Source organism: Homo sapiens, chromosome 19 (assembly GCF_000001405.40).
Source record: "Homo sapiens chromosome 19, GRCh38.p14 Primary Assembly".
Classification (NCBI taxonomy): domain Eukaryota; kingdom Metazoa; phylum Chordata; class Mammalia; order Primates; family Hominidae; genus Homo; species Homo sapiens.
The window spans coordinates 26,774,868-26,789,464 of NC_000019.10; the positions used below are offsets into that span (position 1 = coordinate 26,774,868).

At 39.1% G+C, this 14,597-nt stretch overlaps 1 annotated feature.

Annotated features, from left to right (window-relative positions):
• Positions 1-14,597: part of a centromere (Linear centromere model derived predominantly from reads generated in PMID: 17803354. This region does not represent an actual centromere sequence, as long-range ordering of repeats and unmapped WGS contigs is not provided by the model. For details of model production, see http://arxiv.org/abs/1307.0035.) that runs on past both edges of the window.

Below are 14,597 nucleotides of genomic sequence, written 5' to 3' on the forward strand. Positions count from 1 at the left end.
TCTCAGAAACTGCTCTGCGATGTGTGCGTTCAACTCTCAGAGTTTAACTTTTCTTTTCATTCAGAAGTTTGGAAACACTCTGTTTGTAAAGTCTGCACGTGGATAACTTGACCACTTAGAGGCCTTCGTTGGAAACGGGTTTTTTTCATGTAAGGCTAGACAGAAGAATTCTCAGTAACTTCCTTGTGTTGTGTGTATTCAACTCACATAGTTGAACGATCCTTTACACAGAACAGACTTGTAACACTCTTTTTGTGGAATTTGCAAGTGGAGATTTCAGCCACTTTGAAGTCAAAGGTAGAAAAGGAAATAACTTCCTATAAAAACTAGACAGAATGATTCTCAGTAAACTCCTTTGTGATGTGTGCGTTCAACACACAGAGTTTAACTTTTCTTTTCATAGAGCAGTTAGGAAACACTCTGTTTGTAAAGTCTGCAAGTGGATATTCAGACCTCTTTGAGGCCTTCGTTGGAAACGGGATTTCTTCATATTCTGCTAGACAGAATAATTCTCAGTAACTTCCTTTTGTTGTGTGTATTCAACTCACAGAGTTGAACGATCCTTTACAGAGAGCAGACTTGAAACACTCTTTTTGTGGAATTTGCAAGTGGAGATTTCAGCCGCTTTGAGGTCAATGGTAGAATAGGAAATATCTTCCTATAGAAACTAGACAGAATGATTCTCAGAAACTCCTTTGTGATGTGTGCGTTCAACTCACAGAGTTTAACCTTTCTTTTCATAGAGCAGTTGGGAAACACTCTGTTTGTAAAGTCTGCAAGTGGATATTCAGACATCCTTGAGGCTTTCGTTGGAAAAGGGATTTCTTCATATTCTGCTAGAAAGAAGAATTCTCAGTAACTTCCTTGTGTTGTCTGTATTCAACTCACAGAGTTGAACGATCCTTTACACAGAGCAGACTTGAAACACTCTTTTTGTGGAATTTGCAAGTGGAGATTTCAGCCGCTTTGAGGTCAATGGTAGAATAGGAAATATCTTGCTATAGAAACTATACAGAATCATTCTCAGAAACTGCTGCGTGATGTGTGCGTTCAACTCTCAGAGTTTAACTTTTCTTTTCATTCAGCGGTTTGGAAACACTCTGTTTGTAAAGTCTGCACGTGGAAATTTTGACCACTTAGAGGCCTTCGTTGGAAACGGGTTTTTTTCATGTAAGGCTAGACAGAAGAATTCCCAGTAACTTCCTTGTGTTGTGTGCATTCAACTCACAGAGTTGAACGTTCCCTTAGACAGAGCAGATTTGAAACACTCTATTTGTGCAATTTGCAAGTGTAGATTTCAAGCGCTTTAAGGTCAATGGCAGAAAAGGAAATATCTTCGTTTCAAAACTAGACAGAATCATTCCCACAAACTGCGTTGTGATGTGTTCGTTCAACTCATAGAGTTTAACCTTTCTGTTCATAGAGCAGTTAGGAAACACTCTGTTTGTAAAGTCTGTAAGTGGATATTCTGACATCTTGTGGCCTTCGTTGGAAACGGGATTTCTTCATATTCTGCTAGACAGAAGAATTCTCAGTAACTTCCTTGTGTTGTGTGTATTCAACTCACAGAGTTCAACGATCCTTTACACAGAGCAGACTCGAAACACTCTTTTTGTGGAATTTGCAATTGGAGATTTCAGCCGCTTTGAGGTCAATGGTAGAAAAGGAAATATCTTCGTATAAAAACTAGACAGAATGATTCTCAGAAACTCCTTTGTGATGTGTGCGTTCAACTCACAGAGTTTAACCTTTCTTTTCATAGAGCAGTTAGGAAACACTCTGTTTGTAAAGTCTGCACGTGGATATTTGGACTTCTTTGAGGCCTTCGTTGGCAACGGGGTTTTTTCATGTAAGGCTAGACAGAAGAATTCTCAGTAACTTCCTTGTGTTGTGTGTATTCAACTGACAGAGCTGAACTTTCATTTAGAGAGAGCACATTTGAAACACTGTTTTTGTGGAATTTGCAAGTGGAGATTTCAAGCGCTTTGGGGCCAAAGGCAGAAAAGGAAATATCTTCGTATAAAAACTAGACAGAATCATTCTCAGAAACTGCTCTGCGATGTGTGCATTCAACTCTCAGAGTTTAATTTTTCTTTTCATTCAGCAGTTTGGAAACACTCTCTTTGTAAAGTCTGCACGTGGATATTTTGACCACTTAGAGGCCTTCGTTGGAAACGGGTTTTATTCCTGTAAGGCTAGACAGAAGAATTCCCAGTAACTTCCTTGTGTTGTGTACATTCAACTCACAGAGTTGAACGTTCCCTTAGACAGAGCAGATTTGAAACACTCTTTTTGTGCAATTGGCAAATGGAGATTTCAAGCGCTTTAAGGTCAATGGCAGAAAAGGAAATATCTTCGTTTCAAAACTAGACAGAATCATTCCCACAAACTGCGTTGTGATGTGTTCGTTCAACTCACAGAGTTTAACCTTTCTTTTCATAGAGCAGTTAGGAAACAGTCTGTTTGTCAATTCTGTAAGTGGATATTCTGACATCTTGTGGCCTTCGTTGGAAACGGGATTTCTTCACATTCTGCTAGACAGAAGAATTATCAGTAACTTCCTTGTGTTGTGTGTATTCAACTCACAGAGTTGAACGATCCTTTACACAGAGCAGACTTGAAACACTCTTTTTGTGGAATTTGCAAGTGGAGATTTCAGCCGCTTTGAGGTCAATAGTAGAAAAGGAAATATCTTCGTAGAAAAACTAGACAGAATGATTCTCAGAAACTCCTTTGTGATGTGTGCGTTCAACTCACAGAGTTTAACCTTTCTTTTCATAGAGTAGTTAGGAAACACTCTGTTTGTAAAGTCTGCAAGTGGATATTCAGACATCCTTGAGGCTTTCGTTGGAAACGGGATTTCTTCATATTCTGCTAGAAAGAATAATTCTCAGTAACTTCCTTGTGTTGTGTGTATTCAACTCACAGAGTTGAATGATCCTTTACACAGAGCAGACTTGAAACACTCTTTTTGTGGAATTTGCTTGTGGAGATTTCAGCCGCTTTGAGGTCAATGGTAGAATAGGAAATATCTTCTTATAGAAACTAGACAGAATCATTCTCAGAAACTGCTCTGCGATGTGTGCGTTCAACTCTCAGAGTTTAACTTTTCTTTTCATTCAGCAGTTTGGAAACACTCTGTTTGTAAAGTCTGCACGTGGATAACTTGACCACTTAGAGGCCTTCGTTGGAAACGGGTTTTTTTCATGTAAGGCTAGACAGAAGAATTCCCAGTAACTTCCTTGTGTTGTGTGCATTCAACTCACAGAGTTGAACGTTCCCTTAGACAGAGCAGATTTGAAACACTCTATTTGTGCAATTTGCAAGTGTAGATTTCAAGCGCTTTAAGGTCAATGGCAGAAAAGGAAATGTCTTCGTTTCAAAACTAGACAGAATCATTCCCACAAACTGCGTTGTGATGTGTTCGTTCAACTCACAGAGTTTAACCTTTCTGTTCATAGAGCAGTTAGGAAACACTCTGTTTGTAAAGTCTGTAAGTGGATATTCTGACATCTTGTGGCCTTGGTTGGAAACGGGATTTCTTCATATTCTGCTAGACAGAAGAATTCTCAGTAACTTCCTTGTGTTGTGTGTATTCAACTCACAGAGTTGAACGATGGTTTACACAGAGCAGATTTGAAACACTCTTTTTGTGGAATTTGCAAGTGGAGATTTCAGCCTCTTTGAGGTCAATGGTAGAAAAGGAAATATCTTCGTATAAAAACTAGACAGAATGATTCTCAGAAACTCCTTTGTGATGTGTGCGTTCAAATCACAGAGTTTAACTTTTCTTTTCATAGAGCAGTTAGGAAACACTCTGTTTGTAAAGTCTGCAAGTGGATATTCAGACCTCTTTGAGGCCTTCGTTGGAAACGGGATTTTTTCATATTATGCTAGACAGAAGAATTCTCAGTAACTGCCTTGTGTTGTGTTTATTCAACTCACAGAGTTGAACGATCCTTTACACAGAGCAGACTTGAAATACTCTTTTTGTGGAATTTGCAAGTGGAGATTTCAGCCGCTTTGAGGTCAATGGTAGAATAGGAAATATCTTCCTATAGAAACTAGACAGAATGATTCTCAGAAACTCATTTGTGATGTGTGCGTTCAACTCACGGAGTTTAACCTTTCTTTTCATAGAGCAGTTAGGAAACACTCTGTTTGTAAAGTCTGCAAGTGGATATTCAGACCTCTTTGAGGTCTTCGTTGGAAACGGGATTTCTTCATATTCTGCTAGACAGAAGAATTCCCAGTAACTTCCCTTGTGTTGTGTACATTCAACTCACAGAGTTGAACGTTCCCTTAGACAGAGCAGATTTGAAACACTCTTTTTGGGCAATTGGCAAGTGGAGATTACAAGCGCTTTAAGGTCAATGGCAGAAAAGGAAATATCTTCGTTTCAAAACTAGACAGAATCATTCCCACAAACTGCGTTGTGATGTGTTCGTTCAACTCACAGAGTTTAACCTTTCGGTTCATAGAGCAGTTAGGAAACACTCTGTTTGTAAAGTCTGTAAGTGGATATTCTGACATCTTGTGGCCTTCGTTGGAAACGGGATTTCTTCATATTCTGCTAGACAGAAGAATTCTCAGTAACTTCCTTGTGTTGTGTGTATTCAACTCACAGAGTTGAACGATCCTTTACACAGAGCAGACTTGAAACACTCTTTTTGTGGAATTTGCAAGTGGAGATTTCAGCCGCTTTGAGGTCAATGGTAGAATAGGAAATATCTTCCAATAGAAACTAGACAGAATGATTCTCAGAAACTCCTTTGTGATGTGTGCGTTCAACTCACAGAGTTTAACCTTTCTTTTCATAGAGCAGTTAGGAAACACTCTGTTTGTAAAGTCTGCAAGTGGATATTCAGACCTCTTTGAGTCCTTCGTTGGAAACGGGATTTCTTCATATTCTGCTAGACAGAAGAATTCCCAGTAACTTCCTTGTGTTGTGTGTGTTCAACTCACAGAGTTGAACTTTCATTTACACAGAGCAGATTTGAAACACTCTTTTTGTGGAATTTGCAAGTGGAGATTTCAAGCGCTGTGAGGCCAAAGGCAGAAAAGGAAATATCTTCGTATAAAAACTAGACAGAATCATTCTCAGAAACTGCTCTGCGATGTGTGCGTTCAACTCTCAGAGTTTAACTTTTCTTTTCATTCAGCAGTTTGAAAACACTCTGTTTGTAAAGTCTGCACGTGGATAATTTGACCACTTAGAGGCCTTCGTTGGAAACGGGTTTTTTTCATGTAAGGCTAGACAGAAGAATTCCCAGTAACTTCCTTGTGTTGTGTACATTCAACTCACAGAGTTGAACGTTCCCTTAGACAGAGCAGATTTGAAATACTCTTTTTGTGCAATTGGCAAGTGGAGATTTCAAGCGCTTTAAGGTCAATGGCAGAAAAGGAAATATCTTCGTTTCAAAACTAGACAGAATCATTCCCACAAACTGCGTTGTGATGTGTTCGTTCAACTCACAGAGTTTAACCTTTCTTTTCATAGAGCAGTTAGGAAACAGTCTGTTTTTCAATTCTGTAAGTGGATATTCTGACATCTAGTGGCCTTCGTTGGAAACGGGATTTCTTCATACTGTGCTAGACAGAAGAATTCTCAGTAACTTCCTTGTGTTGTGTGTATTTAACTCACAGAGTTGAACGATCCTTTACACAGAGCAGACTTGAAACACTCTTTTGGTGGAATTTGCAAGTGGATATTTCAGCCGCTTTGAGGTCAATGGTAGAATAGGAAATATCTTCCTATAGAAACTAGACAGAATGATTCTCAGAAACTCCTTTCTGATGTGTGCATTCAACTCACAGAGTTTAACCTTTCTTTTCATAGAGCAGTTAGGAAACACTCTGTTTGTAAAGTCTGCAAGTGGATATTCAGACCTCTTTGAGGCCTTCGTTGGAAACGGGATTTCTTCATATTCTGCTAGAGAGAAGAATTCCCAGTAACTTCCTTGTGTTGTGTGTGTTCAACTCACAGAGTTTGAACTTTCATTTACACAGAGCAGATTTGAAACACTCTTTTTGTGGAATTTGCAAGTGGAGATTTCAAGCGCTTTGAGGCCAAAGGCAGAAAAGGAAATATCTTCGTTTGAAAACTAGACAGAATCATTCTCAGAAACTGCTCTGCGATGTGTGCCTTCAACTCTCAGAGTTTAACTTTTCTTTTCATTCAGCAGTTTGGAAACACTCTGTTTGTAAAGTCTGCACGTGGATATTTTGACCACTTAGAGGCCTTCGTTGGAAATGGGTTTTTTTCCTGTAAGGCTAGACAGAAGAATTCCCAGTAACTTCCTTGTGTTGTGTGCATTCAACTCACAGAGTTGAACGTTCCCTTAGACAGAGCAGATTTGAAACACTCTATTTGTGCAATTTGCAAGTGTAGATTTCAAGCGCTTTAAGGTCAATGGCAGAAAAGGAAATATCTTCGTTTCAAAACTAGACAGAATCATTCCCACAAACTGCGTTGAGATGTGTTCGTTCAACTCACAGAGTTTAACCTTTCCGTTCATAGAGCAGTTAGGAAACACACTGTTTGTAAAGTCTGTAAGTGGATATTCTGACATCTTGTGGCCTTCGTTGGAAACGGGATTTCTTCATATTCTGCTAGACAGAATAATTCTCAGTAACTTCCTTGTGTTGTGTGTATTCAACTCACAGAGTTGAACGATCCTTTACAGAGAGCAGACTTGAAACACTCTTTTTGTGGAATTTGCAAGTGGAGATTTCGGCCGCTTTGAGGTCAATGGTAGAATAGGAAATATCTTCCTATAGAAACTAGACATAATGATTCTCAGAAACTCCTTTGTGATGTGTGCGTTCAACTCACAGAGTTTAACCTTTCTTTTCCTAGAGCAGTTAGTAAACACTCTGTTTATAAAGTCTGCAAGTGGATATTCAGACCCCTTTGAGGCCTTCGTTGGAAACGGGATTTCTTCATATTATGCTAGACAGAAGAATTCTCAGTAACTTCCTTGTGTTGTGTGTATTCAACTGACAGAGTTGAACTTTCATTTAGAGAGAGCAGATTTGAAACACTGTTTTTGTGGAATTTGCAAGAGGAGATTTCAAGCGCTTTGGGGCTAAAGGCAGAAAAGGAAATATCTTCGTATAAAAACTAGACAGAATCATTCTCAGAAACTGCTGCGTGATGTGTGCGTTCAACTCTCAGAGTTTAACTTTTCTTTTCATTCAGCAGTTTGGAAACACTCTGTTTGTAAAGTCTGCACGTGGAAATTTTGACCACTTAGAGGCCTTCGTTGGAAACGGGTTTTTTTCATGTAAGGCTAGACAGAAGAATTCCCAGTAACTTCCTTGTGTTGTGTGCATTCAACTCACAGAGTTGAACGTTCCCTTAGACAGAGCAGATTTGGAACACTCTATTTGTGCAATTTGCAAGTGTAGATTTCAAGCGCTTTAAGGTCAACGGCAGAAAAGGAAATATCTTCGTTTCAAAACTAGACAGAATCATTCCCACAAACTGCGTTGTGATGTGTTCGTTCAACTCACAGAGTTTAACCTTTCTGTTCATAGAGCAGTTAGGAAACACTCTGTTTGTAAAGTCTGTAAGTGGATATTCTGACATCTTGTGGCCTTCGTTGGAAACTGGATTTCTCCATATTCTACTAGACAGAATAATTCTACAGTAACTTCCTTGTGTTGTGTGTATTCAACTCACAGAGTTGAAGGATCCTTTACAGAGAGCAGGCTTGAAACACTCTTTTTGTCGAATTTGCAAGTGGAGATTTCAGCCGCTTTGAGGTCAATGGTAGAATAGGAAATATCTTCTTATAGAAACTAGACAGAATGATTCTCATAAACTCCTTTGTGATGTGTGCGTTCAACTCACAGAGTTTAACCTTTCTGTTCATAGAGCAGTTAGGAAACACTCTGTTTGTAAAGTCTGCAAGTGGATATTCAGACCTCCTTGAGGCCTTCGTTGGAAACGGGATTTCTTCATATTCTGCTAGACAGAAGAATTCTCAGTAACTTCCTTGTGTTGTGTGTATTCAACTCACAGAGTTGAATGATCCTTTACACAGAGCAGACTTGAAACACTCTTTTTGTGGAATTTGCAAGTGGAGATTTCAGCCGCTTTGAGGACAATGGTAGAAAAGTAAATATCTTCGTATAAAGACTAGACAGAATCATTCTCAGAAACTGCTGCGTGATGTGTGCGTTCAACTCTCAGAGTTTAACTTTTCTTTTCATTCAGCGGTTTGGAAACACTCTGTTTGTAAAGTCTGCACGTGGATATTTTGACCACTTAGAGGCCTTCGTTGGAAACGGGTTTTTTTCATGTAAGGCTGGACAGAAGAATTCCCAGTAACTTCCTTGTGTTGTGTGCATTCAACTCACAGAGTTGAACGTTCCCTTAGACAGAGCAGATTTGAAACACTCTATTTGTGCAACTTGCAAGTGTAGATTTCAAGCCCTTTAAGGTCAACGGCAGAAAAGGAAATATCTTCGTTTCAAAACTAGACAGAATCATTCCCACAAACTGCGTTGTGATGTGTTCGTTCAACTCACAGAGTTTAACCTTTCTGTTCATAGAGCAGTTAGGAAACACTCTCTTTGTAAAGTCTGTAAGTGGATATTCTGATATCTTGTGGCCTTCGTTGGAAACGGGATTTCTTCATATTCTGCTAGACAGAAGAATTCTCAGTAACTTCCTTGTGTTGTGTGTATACATCTCACAGAGTTGAACGATCCTTTACACAGAGCAGACTTGAAACACTCTTTTTGTGGAATTTGCAAGTGGAGATTTCAGCCGCTTTGAGGTCCATGGTAGAAAAGGAAATATCTTCGTATAAAAACTAGACAGAATGATTCTCAGAAACTCCTTTGTGATGTGTGCGTTCAACTCACAGAGTTTAACCTTTCTTTTCATAGAGCAGTTAGGAAACACTCTGTTTGTAAAGTCTGCAAGTGAATATTCAGACATCCTTGAGGTTTTCGTTGGAAACGGGATTTCTTCATATTCTGCTAGAAAGAAGAATTCTCAGTAACTTCCTTGTGTTGTGTGTATTCAACTCACAGAGTTGAATGATCCTTTACACAGAACAGTCTTGAAACACTCTTTTTGTGGAAATTGCAAGTGGAGATTTCAGCCGCTTTGAGGTCAATGGTAGAATAGGAAATATCTTCCTATAGAAACTAGACAGAATCATTCTCAGAAACTGCTCTGCGATGTGTGCGTTCAACTCTCTGAGTTTAACTTTGCTTTTCATTCAGCAGTTTGGAAACACTCTGTTTGTAAAGTCTGCACGTGGATAATTTGACCACTTAGAGGTCTTCGTTGGAAACGGGATTTTTTCATGTAAGGCTAGACAGAAGAATTCCCAGTAACTTCCTTGTGTTGTGTACATTCAACTCACAGAGTTGAACGGTTCCCTTAGACAGAGCAGATTTGAAACACTCTTTTTGTGCAATTGGCAAATGGATATTTCAAGCGCTTTAAGGTCAATGGCAGAAAAGGAAATATCTTCGTTTCAAAACTGGACAGAATCATTCCCACAAACTGCGTTGTGATGTGTTCGTTCAACTCACAGAGTTTAACCTTTCTTTTCATAGAGCAGTTAGGAAACACTCTGTTTGTAAATTCTGTAAGTGGATATTCTGACATCTTGTGGCCTTCGTTTGAAACGGGATTTCTTCATATTCTGCTAGACAGAATAATTCTCAGTAACTTCCTTGTGTTGTGTTTATTCAACTCACAGAGTTGAATGATCCTTTACACAGAGCAGACTTGAAACACTCTTTTTGTGGAATTTGCAAGTGGAGATTTCAGCCGCTTTGAGGTCAATGGTAGAAAAGTAAATATCTTCCTATAAAGACTAGACAGAATGATTCTCAGAAACTCCTTTGTGATGTGTGCGTTCAACTCACAGAGTTTAACCTTTCTGTTCATAGAGCCGTTAGGAAACACTCTGTTTGTAAAGTCTGCAAGTGGATATTCAGATCTCTTTGAGGCCTTCGTTGGAAACGGGATTTCTTCATATTATGCTAGACAGAAGAATTCCCAGTAACTTCCATGTGTTGTGTGTGTTCAACTCACAGAGTTGAACTTTCATTTACACAGAGCAGATTTGAAACACTCTTTTTGTGGAATTTGCAAATGGAGGTTTCAAGCGCTTTGAGGCCAGAGGCAGAAAAGGAAATATCTTCGTATAAAAACTAGACAGAATCATTCTCAGAAACTGCTCTGCGATGTGTGCGTTCAACTCTCAGAGTTTAACTTTTCTTTTCATTCAGCAGTTTGGAAACACTCTGTTTGTAAAGTCTGCATGTGGATAATTTGACCACTTAGAGGTCTTTGTTGGAAACGGGTTTTTTTCATGTAAGGCTAGACAGAAGAATTCTCAGTAACTTCCTTGTGTTGTGTGTATTCAACTCACAGAGTTGAACGTTCCTTTACACAGAGCAGACTTGTAACACTCTTTTTGTGGAATTTGCAAGTGGAGATTTCAGCCGCTTTGAAGTCAAAGGTAGAAAAGGAAATATCTTCCTATAAACACTAGACAGAATCATTGGCACAAACTGCGTTGTGATGTGTTCGTTCAACTCACAGAGTTTAACCTTTCTTTTCATAGAGCAGTTAGGAAACAGTCTGTTTGTAAATTCTGTAAGTGGATATTCTGACATCTTGTGACCTTCGTTGGAAACGGGATTTCTTCATATTCTGCTAGACAGAAGAATTCTCAGTAACTTCCTTGTGTTGTGTGTATTCAACTCACAGAATTGAACGATCCTTTACACAGAGCAGACTTGAAACATTCTTTTTGTGGAATTTGCAAGTGGAGATTTCAGCCGCTTTGAGGTCAATCGTAGAATAGGAAATATCTTCCTATAGAAACTAGACAGAATGATTCTCAGAAACTCCTTTGTGATGTGTGCGTTCAACTCACAGAGTTTAACCTTTCTTTTCATAGAGCAGTTAGGAAACACTCTGTTTGTTAAGTCTGCAAGTGGATATTCAGTCCTCTTTGAGGCCATCGTTGGAAACGGGATTTCTTCATATTATGCTAGACAGAAGAATTCTCAGTAACTTCCTTGTGTTGTGTGTATTCAACTCACAGAGTTGAACGATCCTTTACACAGAGCAGACTTGAAACACTCTTTTTGTGGAATTTGCAAGTGGAGATTTCAGCCGCTTTGAGGTCAATGGTTGAATAGGAAATATCTTCCAATAGAAACTAGACAGAATGATTCTCAGAAACTCCTTTGTGATGTGTGCGCTCAACTCACAGAGTTTAACTTTTCTTTTCATAGAGCAGTTAGGAAACACTCTGTTTATAAAGTCTGCAAGTGGATATTCAGACCTCTTTGAGGCCTTCGTTGGAAACGGGAGTTCTTCATATTCTGCTAGACAGAAGAATTCTCAGAAACTCCCTTGTGTTGTGTGTATTCAACTGACAGAGTTGAACTTTCATTTAGACAGAGCAGATTTGAAACACTCTTTATGTGGAATTGGCCAGTGGAGATTTGAAGCGCTTTGAGACCAAAGGCAGAAAAGGAAATATCTTCGTTTCAAAACTAGACAGAATCATTCCCACAAACTGCGTTGTGATGTGTTCGTTCAACACACAGGGTTTAACCTTTCTTTTCATAGAGCAGTTAGGAAACACTCTGTTTGTAAAGTCTGTAAGTGGATATTCTGACATCATGTGGCCTTCGTTGGAAACGGGATTTCTTCATATTCTGCTAGACAGAAGAATTCTCAGTAACTTCCTTGTGTAGTGTGTATTCAACTCACAGAGTTGAACGATCCTTTACACAGAGCAGACTTGTAACACTCTTTTTGTGGAATTTGCAAGTGGAGATTTCAGCCACTTTGAAGTCAAAGGTAGAAAAGGAAATAACTTCCTATAAAAACTAGACAGAATGATTCTCAGAAACTCCTTTGTGATGTGTGCGTTCAACTCACAGAGTTTAACCTTTCTTTTCATAGAGCAGTTAGGAAACACTCTGTTTGTAAAGTCTGCAAGTGGATATTCAGACCTCTTTGAGGCCTTCGTTGGAAACGGGTTTTTTTCATATAAGGCTAGATAGAAGAATTCTCAGTAACTTCCTTGTGTTGTGTGTATTCAACTGACAGAGTTGAACTTTCATTTAGAGAGAGCAGATTTGAAACACTGTTTTTGTGGAATTTGCAAGTGGAGATTTCAAGCGCTTTGGGGCCAAAGGCAGAAAACGAAATGTCTTCGTATAAAAACTAGACAGAATCATTCTCAGAAACCGCTCTGTGATGTGTGCGTTCAACTCTCAGAGTTTAACTTTTCTTTTCATTCAGCAGTTTGGAAACACTCTGTTTGTAAAGTCTGCACGTGGATATTTTGACCACTTAGAGGCCTTCGTTGGAAACGGGTTTTTTTTCATGTAAGGCTAGACAGAAGAATTCCCAGTAACTTCCTTGTGTTGTGTACATTCAACTCACAGAGTTGAACGTTCCCTTAGACAGAGCAGATTTGAAACACTCTTTTTGTGCAATTGGCAAGTGGAGATTTCAAGCGCTTTGAGGTCAATGGCAGAAAAGGAAATATCTTCGTTTCAAAACTAGACAGAATGATTCTCATAAACTCCTCTGTGATGTGTGCGTTGAACTCACAGAGTTTAACTTTTCTTTTCATAGAGCAGTTAGGAAACACTCTGTTTGTAAAGTCTGCAAGTGGATATTCAGACGTCTTTGAGGCCTTCGTTGGAAACGGGATTTCTTCATATTATGCTAGACAGAATAATTCTCAGTAACTTCCTTGTGTTGTGTGTATTCAACTCACAGAGTTGAACGATCCTTTACAGAGAGCAGACTTGAAACACTCTTTTTGTGGAATTTCCAATTGGAGATTTCAGCCGCTTTGAGGTCAATCGTAGAATAGGAAATATCTTCCTATAGAAATTAGATAGAATGATTCTCAGAAACTCCTTTGTGATGTGTGCGTTCAACTCACAGAGTTTAACCTTTCTTTTCATAGAGCAGTTAGGAAACACTCTCTAAAGTCTGCAAGTGGATATTCAGACCTCCTTGAGGTCTTCGTTGGAAACGGGATTTCTTCATATTCTGCTAGACAGAAGAATTCCCAGTAACTTCCTTGTGTTGTGTGTGTTCAACTCACAGAGTTGAACTTTCATTTACACAGAGCAGATTGGAAACACTCTTTTTGTGGAATTTGCAAGTGGAGATTTCAAGCGCTTTGAGGCCAAAGGCAGAAAAGGAAATATCTTCGTATAAAAACTAGTCAGAATCATTCTCAGAAACTGCTCTGTGATGTGTGCGTTCAACTCTCAGAGTTTAACTTTTCTTTTCATTCAGCAGTTTGGAAACACTCTGTTTGTAAAGTCTGCACGTGGATATTTTGACCACTTAGAGGCCTTCGTTGGAAACGGGTTTTTTTTCATGTAAGGCTAGACGGTAGCATTCCCAGTAACTTCCTTGTGTTGTGTGCATTCAACTCACAGAGATGAACGTTCCCTTAGACAGAGCAGATTTGAAACGCTCTATTTGTGCAATTTGCAAGTGTAGATTTCAAGCACTTTAAGGTCAATGGCAGAAAAGGAAATATCTTCGTTTCAAAACTAGACAGAATGATTCTCAGAAAATCTTTTGTGATGTGTGCGTTCAACTCACAGAGTTTAACTTTTCTTTTCATAGAGCAGTTAGGAAACACTCTGTTTGTAAAGTCTGCAAGTGGATATTCAGACCTGTTTGAGGCCTTCGTTGGAAACGGGATTTCTTCATATTCTGCTAGACAGAAGAATTCTCAGTAACTTCCTTGTGTTGTGTGTATTCAACTCACAGAGTTGAAGGATCCTTTACAGCGAGCAGGCTTGAAACACTCTTTTTGTCGAATTTGCAAGTGGAGATTTCAGCCGCTTTGAGGTCAATGGTAGAATAGGAAATATCTTCTTATAGAAACTAGACAAAATGATTCTCAGAAACTCCTTTGTGATGTGTGCGTTCAACTCACAGAGTTTAACCTTTCTTTTCATAGAGCAGGTAGGAAACACTCTGTTTGTAAAGTCTGCAAGTGGATATTCAGACCTCCTTGAGGCCTTCGTTGGAAACGGGATTCCTTCATATTCTGCTATACAGAAACAATTCCCAGTAACTTCCTTGTGTTGTGTGTGTTCAACTCACAGAGTTGAACTTTCATTTACACAGAGCAGATTTGAAACACTCTTTTTGTGGAATTTGCAAGTGGAGATTTCAAGCGCTTTGAGGCCAAAGGCAGAAAAGGAAATATCTTCGTATAAAAACTAGACAGAATCATTCTCAGAAACTGCTCTGCGATGTGTGCGTTCAACTCTCAGAGTTTAACTTTTCTTTTCATTCAGCAGTGTGGAAACACTCTGTTTGTAAAGTCTGCACGTGGATATTTTGACCACTTAGAGGCCTTCATTGGAAACGGGTTTTTTTCCTGTAAGGCTAGACAGAAGAATTCTCAGTAACTTCCTTGTGTTGTGTGTATTCAACTCACAGAGTTGAACGATCCTTTACACAGAGCAGACTTGTAACACTCTTTTTGTGGAATTTGCAAGTGGAGATTTCAGCCGCTTTGAAGTCAAAGGTAGAAAAGGAAATATCTCCCTATAAA